The sequence below is a fragment of the Homo sapiens genome, chromosome 1 (genome assembly GCF_000001405.40).
Source record: "Homo sapiens chromosome 1, GRCh38.p14 Primary Assembly".
Taxonomy (NCBI): Eukaryota; Metazoa; Chordata; class Mammalia; order Primates; family Hominidae; genus Homo; species Homo sapiens.
The window spans coordinates 67,641,447-67,662,503 of record NC_000001.11 but is presented as its reverse complement, the minus strand read 5'-3'; the positions used below and the strand labels follow the sequence as shown (position 1 = coordinate 67,662,503).

Genomic DNA, 21,057 nt, shown 5'->3' with positions numbered 1-21,057 from the left:
TCTCATTTGCATTATTTTACCTTTAAGGTGAAATGGTGTCACCCCTTATAATCCAGTTTCTGCTACTTTTCGCTCATCTGATAGGTTTTGAGCCCCAACTGTAAGTTAGATACTCTGCTAGACATCTGGGACACCAAGATGTAAGGACATGGTTTCTATACTCAAGAAACTCATGATAACTCATTCTAGTTTATGTTTAAGGCAAAGATAAGATTGATAATAAGTCTGTGAAATAGTCCGAGTTTAATTTGTGGAATATATCCAAGTATTCCCCTTCTCCATCTTGCATAGAAACCCTACTGTGATATGGCAACAGTCTATAAAATGCCTATGTTTAGCATGCTACAATAAGAGATGCCCAATAGCCTAAGGATGAATTCTAGTTAGTTTCTGCTTAAAAAATTCCCCAAAGTCCTGGAACACAAGATGTTGAAGGGGTTCCAGAAACTAACAGAGAGATCACCTTTATAACTATTGGAAAATTCTGTTACTTTAATTATGTTATCCAAAGACTTGAAAAACAGACCCTATATTCAAATCCTGGCTTCTTCAGCTACTATCTGTATCATGTCGCTATGTTATACAACCCTTCCTGAACCTCAATATCCTTATTTGTAAAATGAAGATAGTAATGTCTTTTATTAGTTTGCTTATGTATTCACTCATCCAGAAAACATATTCTTAAATGCCTACCGCATCCCAGGCATTGAGCTAGACGCTAGATAAACAATGTTCAACAAGATAGCCACTGTTCCTACACTCCTGAGCCTTATAGCCTGGTGAGAGACAGAGGCTGTAAATGAACTGGGTGCTATGATGAAGAATAAAGTAAGGCAATCTGCTTTCAGGTGGGTAAGTAGAGAAGGCCTCTCTGTGGATATGATATTAGGCTGATACCTAAAGAATGCAAAAGACAAGCTTTGTAAATGGCAAGTGAGAAAAGTGTTTCAAGTAAAGGAAACGGTTTGTGCACAGGTCCTGAGCTAGTAAAGGAAGAGTTTGAGAAAGCAAAAGTAGCCTAGTAGATTAAAAAATGAAAAGCAGGGGGAGGGTGGTGGGGGGGCATTATCCTAAAAAATGAACATTGTCTACCTTAAAACCCAGTAATTTCACTCATGGTATATAACCTAGATAAATTCTTAAATATGCCTACTAGGAGACATATATAAAATACTCCTAATAGCACTAATCTTTGTTCATGATAGCACAAAATTAAAATAATCCAAACATGGACAAAAGAAAGGATAAGTAAGTTTTGGTGTATTTGCACAATGGAAGATTATACAGCAGCAAAATGAATGAATTGTAGTTAGACCAATGAAGATGAATTTTTTAAGTAAACTTTGAGATGAATACTGAGTGGTTGTGACCACGTCGTTGACCTCAAGCAGCAGTTGGCTTCTCCACATGGAACCCTGGATTGGAGACACAGAATCTCCCTTCCCACTCCTGTTTTTGGCTTTGTGAGAAACCTTCCCATCAAACATAATGGCTAGCAATGTTATCAACAAGTCAAATCCTCACTCCATGAACCCCAGAGTATTCATTGGGAATCTCAACACTCTTGTGGTCAAGAAGTCTGATGTGGAAGCAATCTTTTCAAAGTATGGCAAAACTGTGGGTGGCTCTGTTCATAAGGGCTTTGCCTCTGTTCACTGTGTTCATGAGAGAAATATCCAGCCTACTGTGGCAGGAGGGGATGGCAGAATGATTGCCGGCCAAGTTTTAGATACTAATCTGGCTGCAGAGCTGAAAGTGAACTGAGGAAAAGCCGGCGTGAGATGATCTGCAGCGGAGATGTATGGCTCCTCTTTTGACTTGGTCTGTGATTTTCAATGGGATTATTATGACAGGATGCACCGTGATCCAGCACATGCTTCTCCTCCTCCTCCTAGTGCTTGGGCTGTAGTACCCTCAAAACGCCAGCATGTATCAGGAAACACCTCACAAAGGGGCAAAAGTGGCTTTAATTCTAAGAGTGGGCAGTGGGGATCTTCCGAATTGAAAGGAGATGACCTTCAGGCCATAAGAAGGAATTGACCCAGATAAAACAAAAAGTGGATTCTCTACTGGAAAATCTGGAGAAATTTGAAAAGGAGGAGAGCCTACAAGGAGTAGAGTTGAAGGATGTGAAGACAGATGACGGGCCGAGCAGCAGCTCCGTGAAGTAAGATGAGACTAATGTGAAGATGGAATCTGAGGGGCTGCAGATGACTCTGCTGAGGAGAAGGACCTGCTGGATGACGACGATACTGAATGTGGGGGTGACCAACTGTAGATAATCAAGGATGATGAAAAAGAGGCTGAGAGAGGGGAGGATGACAGAGACAGCGCCAGTGGCGGGAATGACTTTTTTTTTTTTTTTTTGAGACAGTCTTGCTCTGTCACCCAGGTTGGAGTGCAGTGGCGCAATCTCGGCTCACTGCAAGCTCTGCCTCCCAGGTTCAAGCAATTCTCCTGCCTCAGCCTCCCAAGTAGCTGGGATTACAGACGCGTGCCACCATGCCCAGCTAATTTTTGTATTTTTTTTAGTAGAGACGGGGTTTTGCCATGTTGGCCAGGTTGGTCTCGAACTCCTGACCTCAGGTGATCCACCCACCTCGGCCTCCCAAAGTGCTGAATTACAGGTGTGAGCCGCCACATCCAGCTGAGAACGACTCTTAAACACATGATGGGGTTTAGAAATCCTATCCCATTATTTCTTTACTTAGGCGGCTGTCTAAGATCAAATTCCTCACCTGATCCTCTCCCCTGGTATCTTCAGCACATGCTCACTGTTCTCCCCATCCTTGTCCTTACCATGTTCATTAATTCATATTGCTCTGAGCCTAGTCTCATTATCACTTCCTTTGAGGCTCCTAGTAGTTTTGTTAAGTCTTACCCTGTAATTTTTGCTTTTAATTTTGATAGCTCTTTATGACTTATCGATTAAAAGGATGTATGGTTTTTATCAACTGTCTCTAAAATAATCTCTTGTTATGCAGGAGAACAGTTCTTTTCATTCATACATGAGTTCAGTAGTTGCTTCCCTAACTGCAAAGGAAATCTCATTTAGTTCAGTAGCACTGGAGGGCAGCTTTGAGTTGGAAGTATGTGGGTTATACCCACAGAAGTATGCTGTGTGGGGCAGTGCAGCGCAAATGTAACAGTGTATTTTTGTGAATGAGAGTTGGCATGTCAAATGCATCCTCTAAAAAAAATCAGTGTAATAGTCTTAAGATAGTTTTCTAAAGTTGATACTGTGGGTTATTTTTGTGAACAGCCTGATGTTTGAGGCCTTTTCCCCACAAAATAAACAGGCCCTTATTAAAGGAGAAACTTGTAGAAAAATAAATAAATAGTACTTTGAATGGAGAAAAAATTACCAAAAAACAACCCCAACTTACAGTATTATTTACTGTGCATTTAAAATAATCTTAAAATACCCCAAATTTAAAAATATTATAAAAGTATTTTTAGAAAACAAAAGAACTGAAACTCCTGCTTCTGGCCAACATGTTAGAACAGACAGCAAATTTACTCTTCTGCCTCAACAACTTGATAACTGGAAAAATACATGAAACAATGGTTTTTGGAAATTGGACAATAGGCAGAGCAGGACTGTAGTGTGTGAGTGAAGGAAAACAAACCAGGTGAGCTCTGTAATTGCACCAGCTTACCCCCTGAAGGGAGTTTTCAGGCAGTAGCACTGAAAAACTGAACCCCAAACAAAATCCAGTAGTAATGAAGAAAGCAGATTGGTGTTTGGGGAGAACAAGGCAGCCACAATTTACAGAGCAGAGTAGTGTAGAGGAGGGAGCTATACAGGAGAGATCTGGGGATCTGCAGAATGATCTATTTAACCCATTTATACCTGAGGTTGCAATTTTTTTTGTATTTGAAAAATCAAACCTTGGCGATGACATTGAGCAGTAGGATATAAATAACTCCCACATGCTTAGCGTTCCATTAATGGAACACTAGGCATAAGTGGGAGTGAGAGAGAATTAACCTGAGGTCAGGGAAAGACCTACCAGAAGGGAGTAGGCAGAAGAATTCCTGGATCTCATATAGGACTGAGAAATGTTCTTGCTTCCACAAGTCAGAGTGAACAGGTCTCATGATATATGCAGCATCAGTAGGAAACTAAGAAGTAAAACATCTTAATAGTCAGCATAAAACCTTACTAGAGGCTGCTGTGGACCCAAAACCACAAAGCTTAAAAGCAAGCTTGAAAGGATCCAACTGTTATCCAAATAACTGCATACCAGAAAAAAGTATGACATTATTAAAAGAATACAAGAAAATCTAGCCACCAGCGACATAAATTGACAATGTCCAGTATCTGAGAAAAAAATAAATAACCATGAGAATGCAAAGAAGCAGTAAAATAATATCCCAAAACATAGACAAAAACCAATCCTTAGAAACTGATGCAAAAATGATATCAATGATGAAACTAGTGCATAAGAATATTAAAGCCACTCCATATGTTCAAAAGGTAGAAGAAAATATAGCCATAATGAGAAGAGAATTTGAAAGTGTGAAAAAGACCCAAATGGAACTTCTAGAGATTATCCAAAGTAAGAAATTCACTGGACGAGATTTGTGTCTTTGAATTTAAAGCACATCTCAAGTAAAAACCAAATACTGAATCTTGCTTTTTTGTCCAGTCTGACAATACCTGACTTTTGATTAGAATATTTAGGACATTCACACTAAACATAACCATCAAGTGCTAGAAAAGTTAGGCCATTTTGCTGTTTTTCTATTCCTCTCGTCTTTTTGTTCTTGTTGCTCCTATGTTCCTCCTTTACTCTTTTTTGTGCTAAAAATTTATTTATTTAATTTTAAGTTCTAGGGTACACATGCAGGACGTGCAGGCTTGTTACATAGGTAAACATGTGCCATGGTGGTGTGCTGCACCTATTAACCCACCACCTAAGTATTAAGCCCAGCATGCATTAGCTATTTTTCTTAATGCTCTCCCTCCCCCAACTGCACCCTCCAACAGGCTCAGTGTGTGTTGTTCCCCTACCTGTGTGCACGTGTATGTTCATTGTAGCACTATTCACAATAACAAAGACATGATATCAACCCAAATGCCCATCAATGATAGACTGGATAAAGAAAATATAGTACATATATACCATGGAATACTATGCAGCCATGAAAAGGATTGAGATCATGTCCTTTGCAGGGACATGGATGGAGCTGGAAGCCATAATCCTCAGCAAATTCACACAGCAACAGAAAACCAAACACCTCATATTCTCACTTATAGTGGGAGCTGAATAATGAAAAATTTATTCTTTTATTTTAATTCCTCTTCTGACTTGATAGCTATATTTATTTGCTTTATTTTTTAGTAATTCCTCTAAAAATACCGTATGAGACTGGGTGTGGTAGCATGCACCTGTAGTCCTAGCTACTTGGAAGGTTGAAGTGGGAGGATTGTTTAAGTCCAGAAATTTGGGGCTGCAGTGTGCTACGCTGATCAGGTGTCTGCACTAAGCTTGGCATCAATATGGTAACTTCCTGGAAGGAGAGAACCACCAGGTTATCTCAGGATGGATAAATCAGCCCAAGTTGAAAATAGAGCAAGTCAAAGATCTGATGCTGATTAATAGCAGGATTGTGCCTGTAAATAGCCATTGCACTCCAGCCTGGGCAACATAGTGATAGCCCATCTATAATAAAAATAAAAAGATAGGCCGGGCACAGTGGCTCACGCCTGTAATCCCAGCACTTTGGGAGGCTGAGGAGGGCGGCTCATGAGGTCAGGAGATCAAGACCATCCTGGCCAACATGGTGAAACCTCGTCTCTACTAAAATACAAAAAATTAGCTGGGCGTGGTGGCGTGCACCTGTAGCCCCAGCTACTAGGGAGGCTGAGGCAGGGAAACCGCTTGAACCCAGGAGATGGAGGTTGCAGTGAGCTGAGATCATGCCACTGCACTCCAGCCTGGGGACAGAGCAAGACTCTGTCTGAAAAAAAAAAAAAAAAAAAAAAAAAAATGTGCTCCTCAACTGATACACTCAGATGGCAGAAAGTGAAAGTCTTACTGGCTTGAGGTGTCTGAGCATAGCCTCCACCCAACATATTGGCTTACCAATAACCTATGCTGGTGCAGGGGAAAGCCTAAGGAGCCCTCAATCACTTCTCCAAGGAGAAAACAAAAAATTAAAAACTGATCAGAGACATCAATGGCTGCACACTCTGGGAGAGTTTTGCTCTTGTTGCCTAGGCTGGAGTGCAATGGCTCACCGCAACCTCCGCCTCCTGGGTTCAAGCAATTCACCTGCCTTAGCCTCCCGAGTAGCTGGGATTACAGGCATGCACCATCATGCCCGGCTAATTTTGTATTTTTAGTAGAGACAAGGTTTCTCCATGTTGGTCAGGCTGGTCTCGAATTCCTGACCTCAGGTGATCCACCTGCCTCGGCCTCCCAAAGTGCTGGGATTATAGGCGTGAGCCACCGCACCAGGCCGAGGAGCACATTTAAAGGTACAGCAGACTTTCAAGTCTTTTCAGACTTTTAACTTTAACTGGGCTCTTTGGGATGCACACATAGCTTAGCATTTATCCAGAGATATGTGGAGATTTTATTATATCAGTCTTTCTATGGCTCTCTCAGGTCTGTTAATACAATTCTTCCATATTAGCTGTTCCGCCACCCTTCTCAAACCAAGACAACCACTTCCAGCCATTAAAACTGTAGGTTCTTGCTATTCAACATGGATATTTGCATAGGAATGCCCCCTGTGCCGTGTCCAGAACAAAGAAGGCCACAGACTCAGTCTTCTTATTTGGTGTGGTGAAATTTTCATGAGTAAAACTTCTAAAATTGTTACTTGACTTTGGTCATTTACCAGTGCTCCAAAATGGTTGTTGTTAATAATTTTGTCCAGCTTTATAATTGTTTGCTGTGGAAAGAAACTTCTCTACCTCTTCTCCATGCCACCATTACAGAAAGTAGAGTCTCCAAGCAGAAATTTTTTTTTTTGGTAGAAATTGACCAGCTTATTCAGATGGAAATACAAAGGACCTAAAATAGTCAAATAATTTTGAAAAAGTAAAACAAACTTACTCTACATGACTCCAAGACTTACTCTACAAATGTTATGGTATTGGCATAAAGAAACACATAAAGATTAACTGAAAAGAGTAGAGACGCAGAAATGGGCCCACTCATATATGGTCAATTGATTTTTGACATAAGTGCCAAGGTATTTCAATGTGGAAATAATAATTTTTCCAAAAAATAGTGTTAAAGCAATAGGCCCTTAACTTACCCCATACACAAAAATTCACTTGAAATGGGTCATAGACCTAAATATAAAAGCTAAAACTATTAAACTTATAGGAAAAACAATTTAGCAGATTATTGGAATAACTTTGAAGTAGGCAAAGATTTTTAAGATGGGATACAAAAAGTCATAAAAGAAAAAAATTGGTAACACTTAAAAATGTTTAAAAATAATATTTTAAAATTTTAAAACATTTGTTCTTTGAAAGACATTGTTAAGAAAATGGAAAGGCAAACCACAGACTGGGAGAAAACTGCGAAACAAATATTTGATAAAAGACTTGTATCTAGAATATATAAAGAACTCTTACAACTTAAGAAGACAAAAATCTAATTTTAAAAATGAGCAAAAGATATGAAAAGATACTTTATCAAAGAAAATATATTGATGACAAACACATAAAAAGATATTCGACATTATTAGTTAGTAGAACAATGCAAATTAAAACCACAGTGTGATATCCCTATATAGTAACTAGGATGGCTAAGGTTAAAAAAAAAAAAAGGAAAATTGATCATACCAAATGTTGATGAGGAGCACCCAAAACTCTCATACACTGCTGGTGGAGATGAAAAAATGGTGCAACCACTTTGGAAAAAGCTTGATAGTTTCTTATAAAGTGAAACATACACTTTCCAAACAACCCAGCAATCCCATCCCTGGGTATTCATCCAAGAGACAGGAAAACATATGTTCACATAAAGACCTGTACTTGAATAGTCAAAGCAGCATTTGTCATGATAAACTAAAACTGCAAACAACCCAAATGTCTCTCAACTGCAAATGGATAAACACATTGTGGTATATCCATATAGTGTAATACTCTTCAGCATAAGGAATGAACTATTACCACATACAATAGCATAGATGAATCTCAAAAGCATTATGCTGACTGAAGGAGGTCAAACACAAAAGACTACATACTATATGATTCCATTTATATAAAATCCTAAAAAAGGTAAGACACTAGTTGCAGAAATTAGTGTTTGCTAGTGGCTGAGGGTAGGGATAAAAATTGACGAGCGAAGAAGCAAGAGAAAACTTTTTGGGATGAAAGAAATGTTCTGCATCATTACTGTGGTGGTGATTACATGATGGCATATATGTAGCAAAATTCATTGCATTGTATTTTTTTAGACATGGGGTCTCACTATGTTGCCCCAGCTGACTTCAAACTCCTGGGCTCAAGAAATCCTCCTGCCTCAGCCTCCCAAGTAGCTGGGACTACAGGCATGTGCCACCATGCCCAGCATGTACTTTTAAATTATGTGAATTTACTGCAGGTAAGTTATCTGATAGCAAATCTGATTAAGAAAAAAATCAAGCGAGTGATTAAAAAAACAAAATTTAGGATAGTGGTTACCTTTGGAGGGGATGTAGGGAGACAGAATCTGAGGGATGCCCGTAAGAACCTTGAATAGTGGTGATGGTTATGTAGTTTTTCTGTGTGTTCAATTAAAATGTAAAATAATAGGGAGAAATGAGCAAATGGGGAGAAGAAATATGGACATATGTAGACAACCTTAGAAAATCAAGGTATCAGCTAAGAAAGAATGTGATGTTAAGGCTTTTGCTTGTTTTTAAATATAGGAGGTACTAGAACATGATATGCCAATAAGAATGACTTACTAGACAGACAAGGAGAGAGACAGAGAGAGAGAGAGAGAGAGAGAGAGAGAGAAAGGGAGAGAGAGAGAATAATGATTGAAGAAAAAAGGGAACCAAAAAGGAACAAAGTCCCTGGGAGAAGAGAGGATGGCTTCTAGAGCAAGTGAAGGGATCAGCCTTTGTTGGTGGGAGGGTCCCTTTCTGCACAGTAACAAGAGGGAAGAAGGAGAAAATGGACCCAGATTCAGTTAAACTTAGGAACTCAGTGGTGGGAAGATGAAGCAATTTTCTTCTAAAAATTTTCATTTTCTCAATAAAGTACAGCTGAGGCCATCAGTGGAAGTGGGGAGGAGTAGGAGGTTTGAGGAAAGTGTTAGAAATGACCATCCGGAGAGTACAGTGAGGATCTCATCATAGAATGCATGCTTAGTGCCAGGTATATAACATCCCTTCCTTCCACCTAGTGTGCCCACTTCAGCTAAACTCCTCTGTTGATTGAGGGTTATTTACTCCTGTGGCTGTGGTCTAGAGTGGAGAAGTGCTCCGTCAGTAGGTAATGAGTAAGAGTCAGCAGAGGAGGCAGCTGTCTTCCTGGCAGTCTCCTTACCCTGGATTGGTCATCAAAAACACTGCTGGAGATCTGTTTACAGCATTTTGCAATTCAAGAAGGGTAAGGGAGGACTTCACCCTTCTTTCAGGAGACCTGCAAGTTTCGCTTGCTAATTTAATGTTTCTAGGTAGGCTATTGCTAAGCAGTGTTTTCTTGGGTAGTTTCTGTTTTGGGCATTTGTACATGGTGCTATTTGATGTGTACTGAATTGATCAATTGATTGCTCATTTTATTGTGCTTCCACTGTCTGTGATATCCTGTACTATAACATATGTTATATATGTGTGTGTGTATACATACTATAATATATAATATACCATAATAGTATTTCCTACTTAGATAGAACTTGTGCTTTACCTTTCTGCCTGCCTGCCACTGAGATACTTAATAAATGTGGCATGAACTAATCAATAAATGAAAATGTATTTATCAAGTAGTTATTATGGTGCTTGAGAGACAGGCTCAAGTAGCAAGAAGTGCAGACAGGCACTGCCACCAGCAATCTGGTTGTTAAGACTTACACACATTAAAGAGATAGTGTGGTGTAGTATCAATGTACAGAATTTGGAGTTAAATTTGAAGTTTGTAGAAACTAACTAGATTCATGACCTTGAGTGAATTGCTTTACTTTCTGTGCCTCAGTTTTCTTGTTTTTTATTTTTATTTTTATTTATTCATTTTTTTAAAAATAGAGATGAGGTCTCGTTATGTTGCCCAGGCTGGTCTCAAATGCCCGAGCTCAGGTGATTCTCCTGCCTTGGCCTCCCAAAGTGCTAGCATTACAGGCATGAGCCACCACACCTGGCCGGTTTTCTTTTTTTAAAAAAGTAGGGACTTGGATCATAGTAAGACATGAATAAGTTAATACAGGTAAAATGACTAGCATAGTACCCAACCATAGTTAAAGCATAATAAAATTAACCCTGTCACATGGAAATATCTTGTTAATTAAGTGCTACATTTGAGGTGCAGACAGTCATTTTATCTCCTATCAAATAGAAACCATTGTAGTACATATTATCTGTATTAATTCATTTGGTCATCATAATACCCCTGTGAGATGGGAGGATTTTTATGCCTATTTTACAGATGAGGAAACTAAAATGTAAATACGTTAATCGACTTGCTCAAGGTCAGACAACTAGTAAATGGCAGAATTAAGGAATACAAACCCAGGCAGTCTTTTAACTAGATGTTAGTAATTGTAGTGATATTAATAGTACTACTAGTGGCTGTTGTAGGAGTGAGAATAACGAGACAGCACTTTGCTAGGGGTAGGATCTGAGATTGGCTTTTAAATATAGCAAGATTTCTGTAGGCAGAGAGAGAGATGACGTTTCCCCAAACAGAGGACAATCGTGAGCAAAAGCTCAGTCTGGGCAGGTGCAGTCTTGCTCACAGAATTAGGCCTTTTCGAACCCTGCAGAGGGTCTGCCTTATAGGGAAATAGCGTAAGACGGGGCCCAAAAGAATGAATTAGGGTCTGATGTGGCAAGAAGTAATTACTGATAAGGCATTTGCTTTGATCTGGGATTCCAGCCTGGAACTCGGGACGTAGGCTGGGGTAGAAATGAAGATTTGGGATTTGTGTGTGCAGAGGTGGTAAAAATGTCCTATCTTACATCCTTACAGAGCTTTAGCATTTGCCTGATGCTTTCCCATCTGACGTTTTGCTGATCCTCACAATAGCTTTATCACTGGGATGGGCAGGTAACTCCTATTAAGTGAGTTACCATGTGTGAAATGCCTGCTTCTGAGTGGGGACTTCATTAAGGTCACTTCCTTTTTTCATGGACAAGACAATGAGAGTCAAAGATGTTAAGTAACTCGCCCAAGTTCACGGAGCTTCTAAACATTGGAGCTAGGACTTGAAAGCAACTCCTTTGCTCTCAGCTGATTCAGTTTTCCACACTTTCCATGGTAAGCCCAGTAATTATTTCTAATACTAAAATTTATTCAACAAACAATGCAATTGAGCTCCGACTGTATGTCTCACATAGTATCAGGCTATAAGGATGCAAAGATAAATATGTTTACTTTTTTTTTTTTTTTCCAGACAGAGTCTTACTCTGTCGCCCAGGCTTGAGCACAGTGGCATGATCTTGGCTCACTGCAACTTCCACCTCCTGGGTTCAAGTGATTCTCCTGCCTTAGCCTCACAAGTAGCTGGGATTACAGGCGTGTGCCACCACACCCCACAAATTTTTGTATTTTTAGTAGAGACAGGGTTTCACCATGTTGGCCAGGCTGATCTCAAACTCCTGCCTGATCTCAAGTGATCTCCCTGCCTTCGCTTCCCAAAGTGCTGGGATTACAGGCATGAGCCAACGTGCCTGGCCTCCTTTTTTTTAATTTTTTAATTTTAATTTTTATTTTTTGAGACAGGGTCTGCTCTGTCACCCAGGCTGAAGTGCAGTGGTGTAAACACTGCTCACCACATCCTCGAACTCCTGAGTTCAAGGGATCCCCCCACCTCAGCCTCCCCAGTAGTTAGGACTACAGGCGCAGGCCACCACACCTTACTTGTTTACATATTTTACAAATATGCTCACAAACCATTGGGGAAAGTAGGGTTTACATTTTTCAAAACCTAGAATTTGGCAAGTGCAGAGATGATAGTGGGTACACAAGTGTTATGGAATGGGGGTGGGTGGGGGGAGGACAGCTTCACAGAGAAGGCAAAGATTGAAGTGAACCATGTATACAAAGTATGCTCTTACTCATGGTCTGAGTCTCACACTTAACTCTCCTGGGATATCAAGTGTTAGTAGATACACTGGAACTAATGAGCCTCCCACAGGAGAAGTGCAACAAAGAAGCAGGGCAAGTGGACACATGTGGCAGCCTGGGAGTACCCCCAGATCTCCTTAGAGAGAACCAGAATGGGAGGAGTGTAGTAGCTGACAGCCTGTAGCTGCTGCCCCTTTGGGGTTCAACTGCAGCATTCCTACTGAGGCGACACTCCCCAGGCTGCTCCCAGCCAATGTCAGAGCATGGCAAAGGTACTAGAGCCAAGCCATTCCTGCTCAACATGGGAGTCTTCTGACAAGCACTCTGCTCAGGAGCTCAGCAGCCTGGTCCACTCTTTCTCAGAGGTGCACAGCAACCTGGCACTCTTCCTAGCCAGTCCTCCTTTCCCCTCTCCTTCTATAGGTGGGATTACAGGTGTGCCACCAAGCCTGGCATAATTTTAGTGATGAGTTCTTACCATGTTGCTCAGACTGGTCTCGAACTCCTGGTTTCAAGGGATCCTCCCGCTGTGTGAGGCTGTCCCTACCTCCTCCTGATTCTCCTTCAACCGACACAATAGTGTTAGAGAGGGAGAGAAACCCAGAGTAAAACTATTGGGAAATGCCTTTGTTTCATAAGTGAGGAAAGGAGGAGAATGCCGCACATCATGGAGGAAGGGGAAAACCAGCAGAAACCCTGTGGCCGAGACTTCCAGCACCTTTCAGGAGGACAATTCCCAGTTGGATTCTAAGAGAAAATAAGAGTAATGAGAATGCCCACAGCTATATGCCAGGAAGACAATCAGGGCTAAAAATTTAAAAAATAATAAATAAAGTGATGATTGAATGAAGGAATAGAGATGGAGAACTTATTAGGGTATTTAAAGCCAGCAGCTGCAACAGAAAACCCTAAACTCTCAGGTGGTTTAACCTAATAAAAGTTTGTTTTTCACTCACAGCAAGACCAGTTCTGGTCATGAGACCCTTCTCTACCTCGAGGTTTGTCCTTATAAAGCAAGAGTTTGCATTGATGCCAAAGAAGGGGAGGAGAGAACAGGGGATGGAGGTTTTGACAAGGGTCTGACTTGGCAGTGGCCTGCATCCCTTCTCCTCACACGTCATTGGCCAAAATCTAGGCACGTGGCCTCAACCTAAGAGGGAGGGTGGAGAAAAAATCTGTGCCTGAGTGCCCAGGAAAGAGGAAAATAACACAAGAGTGGGCAAACCCATAGCATTATCTCTGCCACATGGAACATGCCACCACAGTGTTTTGCAATTAGGAATGCATTATAAACCCACATAAAGGTTAATATATACATGGGGATGGGGTGGAGCATTTAAACCAGTCAAATATTTTAACAGACAGATTGCAAGATTGCAAGGAGCAAGGGAAAGCAGGAGGGATTGCAGGAAGTGGAGATAACAACGCCACCTCCAGGAATCTTTAGGTGCTGTCCACCCACCAGCCTCTGATCCCAGGTTGAACACTCCTCTCTCATCACTCATCTTGCCAACTGTATGCAAAGTGCTTGCTCTCTTCCCTAGGCTGTGAACTCTTCAACAAGGGGATGTTGTGCGCTTCATGTCTGTATCCCCAGCCCCCAGCACAGGGCGTGGCACAGAGTCACTGTCAATTGAATGAATAGAAAACATTCACCACTCTGGAGATTATGATTTAGGGGATCTGGAGTGGAGAACAGGTATCCATACTTTAAAAAAAGAGTTATTTATTTACTTAAAATTGTAAAATATATATAACATAAAATTTACCATTCTAGCTTTTTTTTTCTTTTTTGAGATGGTCTGGCTCTGTCATCCAGGCTGGAGTACAGTGGCATGATCATGGCTCACTGCAGCCTCAACCTCCTGGGCTCAAGCAATCATACTGCCTCAGCTCCCCAAGCTGGGACCACAGGCGTGTGCCACCACACCTGGCTAGTTTTTAATTTTAACTATTTTTAAGTGTAGAGATTTTAAGTAAACTCACATTGTGCAAACATCACCACCAACCATCCACAGAACATTTTTCATGTTGCAAAACTGAAACTCTGTACCCATTAAACAATAACTCCCCATTCTCCCCTCCTTGACAACCCTTGGCAACCACCATTCTACTTTCAGCTTCTGAACTGCACTACTCTAGGTACCTGCCATAAGTGGCATCATACAGTATTTGTACTTTTGTGACTAGCTTATTTCCCTTAAAATAACATCCTCAAATTCATCAATGTTGTAGTATGCGTCAGAATTTCCTGTCCTTTTAAGGCTGAATAATATTCATTGTATGGGCATACCACATTTTGTTGGTCCATTCATTGTGGACACTGGGGTTGCTTCCATCTTTTAGCTATTGTGAGTAATGCTCCTGTAAACACAGATGGACAAATATTTCTTCAAGATCCTCTTTTCAATCGTTTAGGGATTTCAATACTTTTTAGAAGCTCTTCAGGTGATCTAAAACACAGCTAAAGCGGAAAACCTCTCTTTTACGTATAGGAGAAGAAAGTCAAGGGGATGATGAGGGATTTGGGGGACTATGAAACAGTGCAAGGCTTGGAGGAGGCAGGCATGAGAAAGAGAGGGGAGAAACAGAGGACTACGAAGAAGAGAGGATGTCAGATTATGTAATACCTGAAGCTGACATGATGTTATCTGCTGACCAGAGCAGGGGAAAGGGAAAGAGAAGATTGACAGCATTTGCTGAAAGGGATCCAATTGGGAGATAACGGGAGGAGAGATGATCAAAGTTAAAAGACAAGTAAAGGACCTGGGGGCATTTGTGTGCTGGAGGAGAGGGGGTGGAAATAGAAGGAACTCCTTTTTATTAAAATGAAGCTCACTTGAGAGCAGACACTTAAAAAAGTTTGTGGCAAGTGGGCTTAGAAATGGACGAAAAATCATTAGCAGGCTCTAGGCTGTCCAGGCCTCACAGTGGACGTGTGGCAGGCCAGGGCTCAGGGCCCCAGGATAAGGGAAAAAGGGATCATGGAAATGATCCAGGTTTGGAAATGGGCCAGAGGATGTGGCAGAAGGTTAAGGGAGGAGAGGGAGGCTAAGTGCCAAACGAGTGCTGAGTATTGCATACCTAAACAAACCCATGCCCTCATAGAAATTTCCTGGTAAAAACAGGGAGAGTCACTGTCACCTACATAGATAACATTAAGTGTTCCATCAAATCAATCAAATTGCCTCCCCTGAGCCTGCCCTTGCCATGAGCCTCTCTATCCCTGGACGGACTGTCTTCCTAGCGACTGGCCACTTTCCTTATAGATTAAGATCTTCCTTGCTGCATTCAGAAACCAGAATTCTCCCTTTGTCCTGCCACATTGTTCCCTTACACTGCAGCCAGCAGCCCAATCCAGGGCCACCAGTAACAGATGTCTAACACCTCAGGGAGTCCCCTCAATGAGTCAATGGGGTGACTTTGCACTTCTAGAAGTCCTTGCCCCCCCTCCTATACTATGGCAGCTGTGGGCTGAAGTGACAGTCCCCAGTGATCTCATTTTGAGCTCATCTTTATTTTTTTTAGATAAAACAAGGTTTTTAAAACACTTGTCCTGAAAAATCCATTCCCATCATCCTCCCTTCCTCTTAGATGACCCAATATGTCTTATCGATCTGGAACTTTCTTTATCTGGTATCTAATGGCTCACATGAAGCTTTGTTCCTATTTCCCTGTGATGCTCCTTTTACCCTCAAGCCTTTGTTGGCATTGTTCCATCTCTTTTCATTGCCTCTGTGGGTCTCAGCTTTATCCCTGTATAATTGCTCAGACTACCTCCTGCCTGCTCTGAGAAATCTGTCAGTTGCTGCCTGCTGCTTGCAGTCTGTTATCTTTTACTTGCTTCACTGGGCTTTTGGCTGCCCTCTGGACATTGCTGCTGTTCTAGGACTAGATATAGATCTGTTTTTTTCCACATTTTATTGCCTTTCTCTCTCTCTCTGTTTTCCCCTCCTTGCAGGCATGTTAGAGGCTCTCCAGCAGGCAAACAGCCTAGGGAAACCACCATCCTACTGGCATCCTTGACATGTCCAAACTGATGGTGTCCTTCAGTTGCAAATGTGCAGGCAGCCAGGCAAGGGGCCAGCTGACTCTGGAGCAGCCCAGTCCTCAGAGGATATGGAGGCAATTAACTTTGTTTAATAAATAAAATAGCCTAAGTTAACTATAAAAAATGTGAGCCTGGGAAAAGAAGATGTACTAGGAAGCATTCTCTCATTCTTCCCTTTGTGCATGCAGGGGAAACACTTCCATGTGCCATGTGGCTTCTGACTGATAATGGAGAGTGAGGCCCTTCCAATGCTCTTCTTGGAACTGCCTGGAAAGTTTTTTGCTGCATTTCTTTTTTTTTTTTTTTTAATTATACTTTAAGTTTTAGGGTACATGTGCACATTGTGCAGGTTAGTTACATATGTATACATGTGCCATGCTGGTGCGCTGCATTTCTAGTTGGCTTCCACTTTGCTCCAGCTTCTGCAGAGCTGCTGACCTTTGATCCCTTCTGTTTGCCTCTAGAAACTGGCGTAGGCCCTTGGCTTCCCATGTTTGTACGTCAGCATGCCCTGGGGACTTAGGCTGCTGCAATTCTTGGCTGCCACACACTAGCTTTGGTTCCATTTTGACTAACCAACTATAGGCACTGTGGTCAGGCCTTCCCTCTCTGTCCAGGCCTTCAGAGACTACCACATTTGGGAAGTGGAGGGGATAGTAGAACAGAGTTCCAAGGAATATTTGAAGTACATTTGTCCCTAGGTGGCAGAAATGTAAGAAGGGAGAATTTTCAAGGAAGAAATGGAAAGAGATTTAGAATAAGTTCTTTGCAATCTGAGTAAAAGAAATATAGGGGGAAAAAACTAGAGCATCAGTAAAGTGAGTAAGAATACCATGAATCCAAAATTGGTAATTTTAATCCAAAATTTAAAAATAGGGATAAACATTGGATCAAATATTGAAGTAGAACCTGAGAATCTATGCGATATAATAATAGTAACCTAGACCATCAATTTGCAACTGGCTTAAGTGCTATTTAAGGTAAATACCACTCCATGATCAAGAGAGTGAGGATGTCTGTCTTTACTCTTTTATTCTTTCACTGACTTCTTTTATAGATATTTTTGAACAGCAGCCCAGTACCTGGATGTTGCTAGATGTGACGGAAGATACAAAGAAGAACACATGGGGTCTGCCTTCAACATAGTTAGACATATAAAAAGTCAAGTTAGGATAAAGAAATGAAGAGTGTTTCAAGATAGTATATGATTAAGTATCAATTAAGTAAGTACTATGGGCCTGCAAGAGGGAGTACCCCTGCAGGCTGGAGGGATCACAGAGGGTTTATGGAAGAGATGGGCCTCAAAGGAACCTGGGTAAGTCAATAAAATTGTAAAGGAAAAGACAAATTCTCATGCTTAGTGATGACTTACTGAGTTCTCATTATGTACAACAAACTGTAGAAGAGCTGTCTCAAGTAGTCTTAGGCTAATGTCCCCATGGGCCTAAGATTGCAGCTGCAACTCCTTACAGAGCTGCATTTCGAACATAAAGAAAGGGGCGAGGGCCAAACATGTTCTCCTTGTGAACTCTCTCCATTTAGGGAGAAAGTCTTTGAAAAAAGATTTACCCTGAAATCTCACTGGCCAGAACTAACTCTTATGCCTACCCCTAGGCAATTACTGGCAAAGGTTTAAGCCAATCGTGATTCTTCCCTGGGCTGGCATAGACTGTGCACAGCTTTGATAAGATCAAGGGATCCCCATTTACTAACTGAATAGAACCAGAGTTCTGTCTGGCAGAGAAGAAAGTGAGGATGGTGGATGAGTAGGCAGTGAACAGTGTTTGCCACATTTACCATTAATGAACCATGCCCATGTGGCTTCTACACTGGCTGTAGCCAGTCCTTGACCTTGGCCTTCATTTACAACTTGGAATTTTTTCCCTATTGAAAATTATTGTTCCTGCACAATGGATCTGACACATGCAAGGAAAGCAACTCAAAATTCCATCAGTAAATTCTTATTCGGAGATCCTTTGGTCACATAAGATTGATGAATTGTCATACCTTTATGTATTTTAAGTTTGAAAAATGTTTTAAGTTAGGTATCATTTTTATGACTCCTAACTAAACTAGCTAAAAATTAACCTACAGACCTCTAGTTTCAAGACAAGAATAGATAAGTCTTTAGATACATCCAGATAAGTTTTAGATAAAAAGGCTTCTTATATTGTAGTCGCTAGATATATTTTTTTTTTGGTCTTAATTCCTCATTGGATTGAAATCTAGAGGGCAGAGTTCAATGAGCTCTAGAACTGAGTGATCCAGTATAGTAACCACTAGCTATATATGACTACTGAGCACTTGAAATGTGGTTAATGAGATGGAGGAAATGAATTTTTCATTGTGTTTTAATTTTAATGTAAAGTCTGATTTTATTATTGAAAAACTTTTAAGTATATTTGGAATAATTTATGTATGGGAATGTCCTTTCTCAGCTGTAAGCTGTATGAAACCTAAAAAAGCTTGACTATTTCCGATGAAAACGTAGTGTTTGAGATGAGTTGTGTCATAAGTATAAAACATATACTTCATTTTAAAGATGTAGTATGGTAAAAACTATGTAAATATATCTCTTAAATAATTTCTTATATTGACTACATCATGAAATGTCAATACTTCAAATATACTGGGTTAAAGAAAATATACTACTTAAATTAATTTTACCTACTTATTTTTACTGTGTTTCAAGGTGGCTATTAGAAAATTCTAAATTACATGTGTGGCTTTTGTTATATTTCTCTTGGACAGCGTTGCTGGAGTATATACTGAGCACTCAAATGTTTGTTGAATGAATGCTTTGGTGACTTGACCAAGGTCACTCAGAAAGATTCAAGACTGAGTCCCAGGTTCCCTTTCTCTCCATGTCATCTTCCTTTCCACCATTCCTTGTGGCCTTCTGTATCCCATACTGTGCTTCCTGGTCACACTCTTATACCCACCTGCAGGACAGAAACTTTCCTCATGGAGTGAGTTTTACAAACTCTGAGGAGAGGGAGAAACATCTGTGTTGAGGGTGTGTAAAGGCAGCAGCTTATAGAAAATGGAGCTCCCTTTGATAGAGAGAAGTAAGTGATTTAGGATGCCAAATCTCAGATGACCCTTTTGTTTTATATTTTGCCATTGCTGGGTGTCTTTTCTGAGATCGCCAGTCAGCGCATTGAATGTTCTTGTTCCAACTTTCTCGTTTCATAAAAAGGGTGGTTTTACACTTCTGGACAGATTTCTTGCTATCCCCAGGGCCCTAGTGACACAGAGCAAACAAGAGCAACGTAGGCTGTCTGAACACAATGGGAGGAAAGCCGAGAACAAGCGGCCACCCACGCTGCTCACCAGAGAAGCCCAGCATTCCCCTGGCTCAGAGAGCAGTTGCTTTGTTAGACCCTACACCAGAAGATTTGCTCTAAACCCGCTGAGACCATTCCCCCAGATTGCAATACTTACAGAACAGCGCTGCACACTGCTCTTCATAAAACACGCACGAAACCAGCTGGGCCTGTGAATCATCCACTGAAGTGAAAGCGCTGTAATTTCACATTTCCAATTTTTGGTCCTCATGTTCAAGCTGAAAGTGCCATTATTTTTGCAGGATTTCATTCAATAGACATTCATTCACCAAATATGTATTGGATACCTGCTATATGTCAGGCAATATGAGATGCCAAGAAAAATAATACATGCTGATTTATTGGTCTATACTATATAACAATGACTTATGTAGCTGACCTATAAATAAGTTATATATTTATTTATCTGAACTATCATAGACCAAGAGAGGCACAGATAATTTTTAAGAGCATAACCCAAAGATGCATCTTTACATAAGAAGTATACTCACCATTCTGGTTCAAAAACAAGGTCTCTCTGGACCAATTTTTTGTCTCTGGCAGTGGCATTAAAACACTTGGTGTGATTCTAGGATACTTTCTAAGGAACTAATTAGAGATTATGGTTAAAGATGTATGTATACTGATGTCATTGCAGTGTTATTTAAGAGAGAAAAGAAAACTCTCTAAATAAGAGTGGTTTAGTAAAATTTGGGCCTGTCCTTATGATGGCAAATCATTACAAATCATGTTTTAAAGAATATTTAGTAATGTAAGAAAATAGTTCCCTTATATGCGAAGATTTAAAAGTCAGGATATAAAAATACACATTACAGGTGTTTTCCAGTTTGGAAAAAATATCTGTATACATATGCAGAGAAAAGACTAGAAGGATATATACCAAAATATTAGCAATTTACCTCTGAGATGAGGTTATGTATGGCTTTATCTTCCTATTTACATTCTATAGTTATAAAATGTTTAATTGTTCACTATTTCTGAAATATGAAAAAACAAACTTTTAATTTTTATTCATTTTATTTATTATTATTATTATTATTATTATTATTATTACCATTTTAGTGAGGGAGACTTGCCATGTTGCCCAGGTTGATCTTGAACTCCCAGCCTCAAGCAATCCTCCTGCCTTGGCATCCCAAAGTGCTGGGATTACAGGCATGAGCCACTGCGCCCAGCCATAACAAACTTTTAAAAGAAAATTGGTGCGGGGCCATTATTTTCCTCTGTGGAATTAATTTTTAAATTTTTAAAATACCTAGCCTCCCCCACTCCTCATTTCTATAGTTCCTTAAATAATTTATTCTGGATTTATCACACTTGACTTTATCTAAAACTTTTGAACCAATTTGTAACTGTCTATGACACATTTTGTGGACAATTAAATCCATAAACTTACCTCCTGATATCACCTGGGGTAATAC

The 21,057-nt window shown here is 40.5% G+C and overlaps 2 pseudogenes, besides 1 other annotated feature; both read left to right on the top strand.

Annotated features, from left to right (window-relative positions):
* The first annotated feature begins 1,451 nt into the window (after window positions 1-1,451).
* Window positions 1,452-19,791, top strand: HNRNPCP9 (heterogeneous nuclear ribonucleoprotein C pseudogene 9; annotated as a pseudogene).
* Window positions 2,124-2,418: a silencer, noted in NCBI's record as "tiled region #12613; HepG2 Repressive non-DNase unmatched - State 23:Low". NCBI's record gives its function as "represses a minimal TATA promoter and a strong SV40 promoter by Sharpr-MPRA in HepG2 cells {active_cell/tissue: HepG2}" and the evidence as "EXISTENCE:reporter gene assay evidence [ECO:0000049][PMID:27701403]".
* On the top strand, window positions 5,375-5,673 carry RN7SL392P (RNA, 7SL, cytoplasmic 392, pseudogene; annotated as a pseudogene).
* Window positions 19,792-21,057: the final 1,266 nt, after the last annotated feature.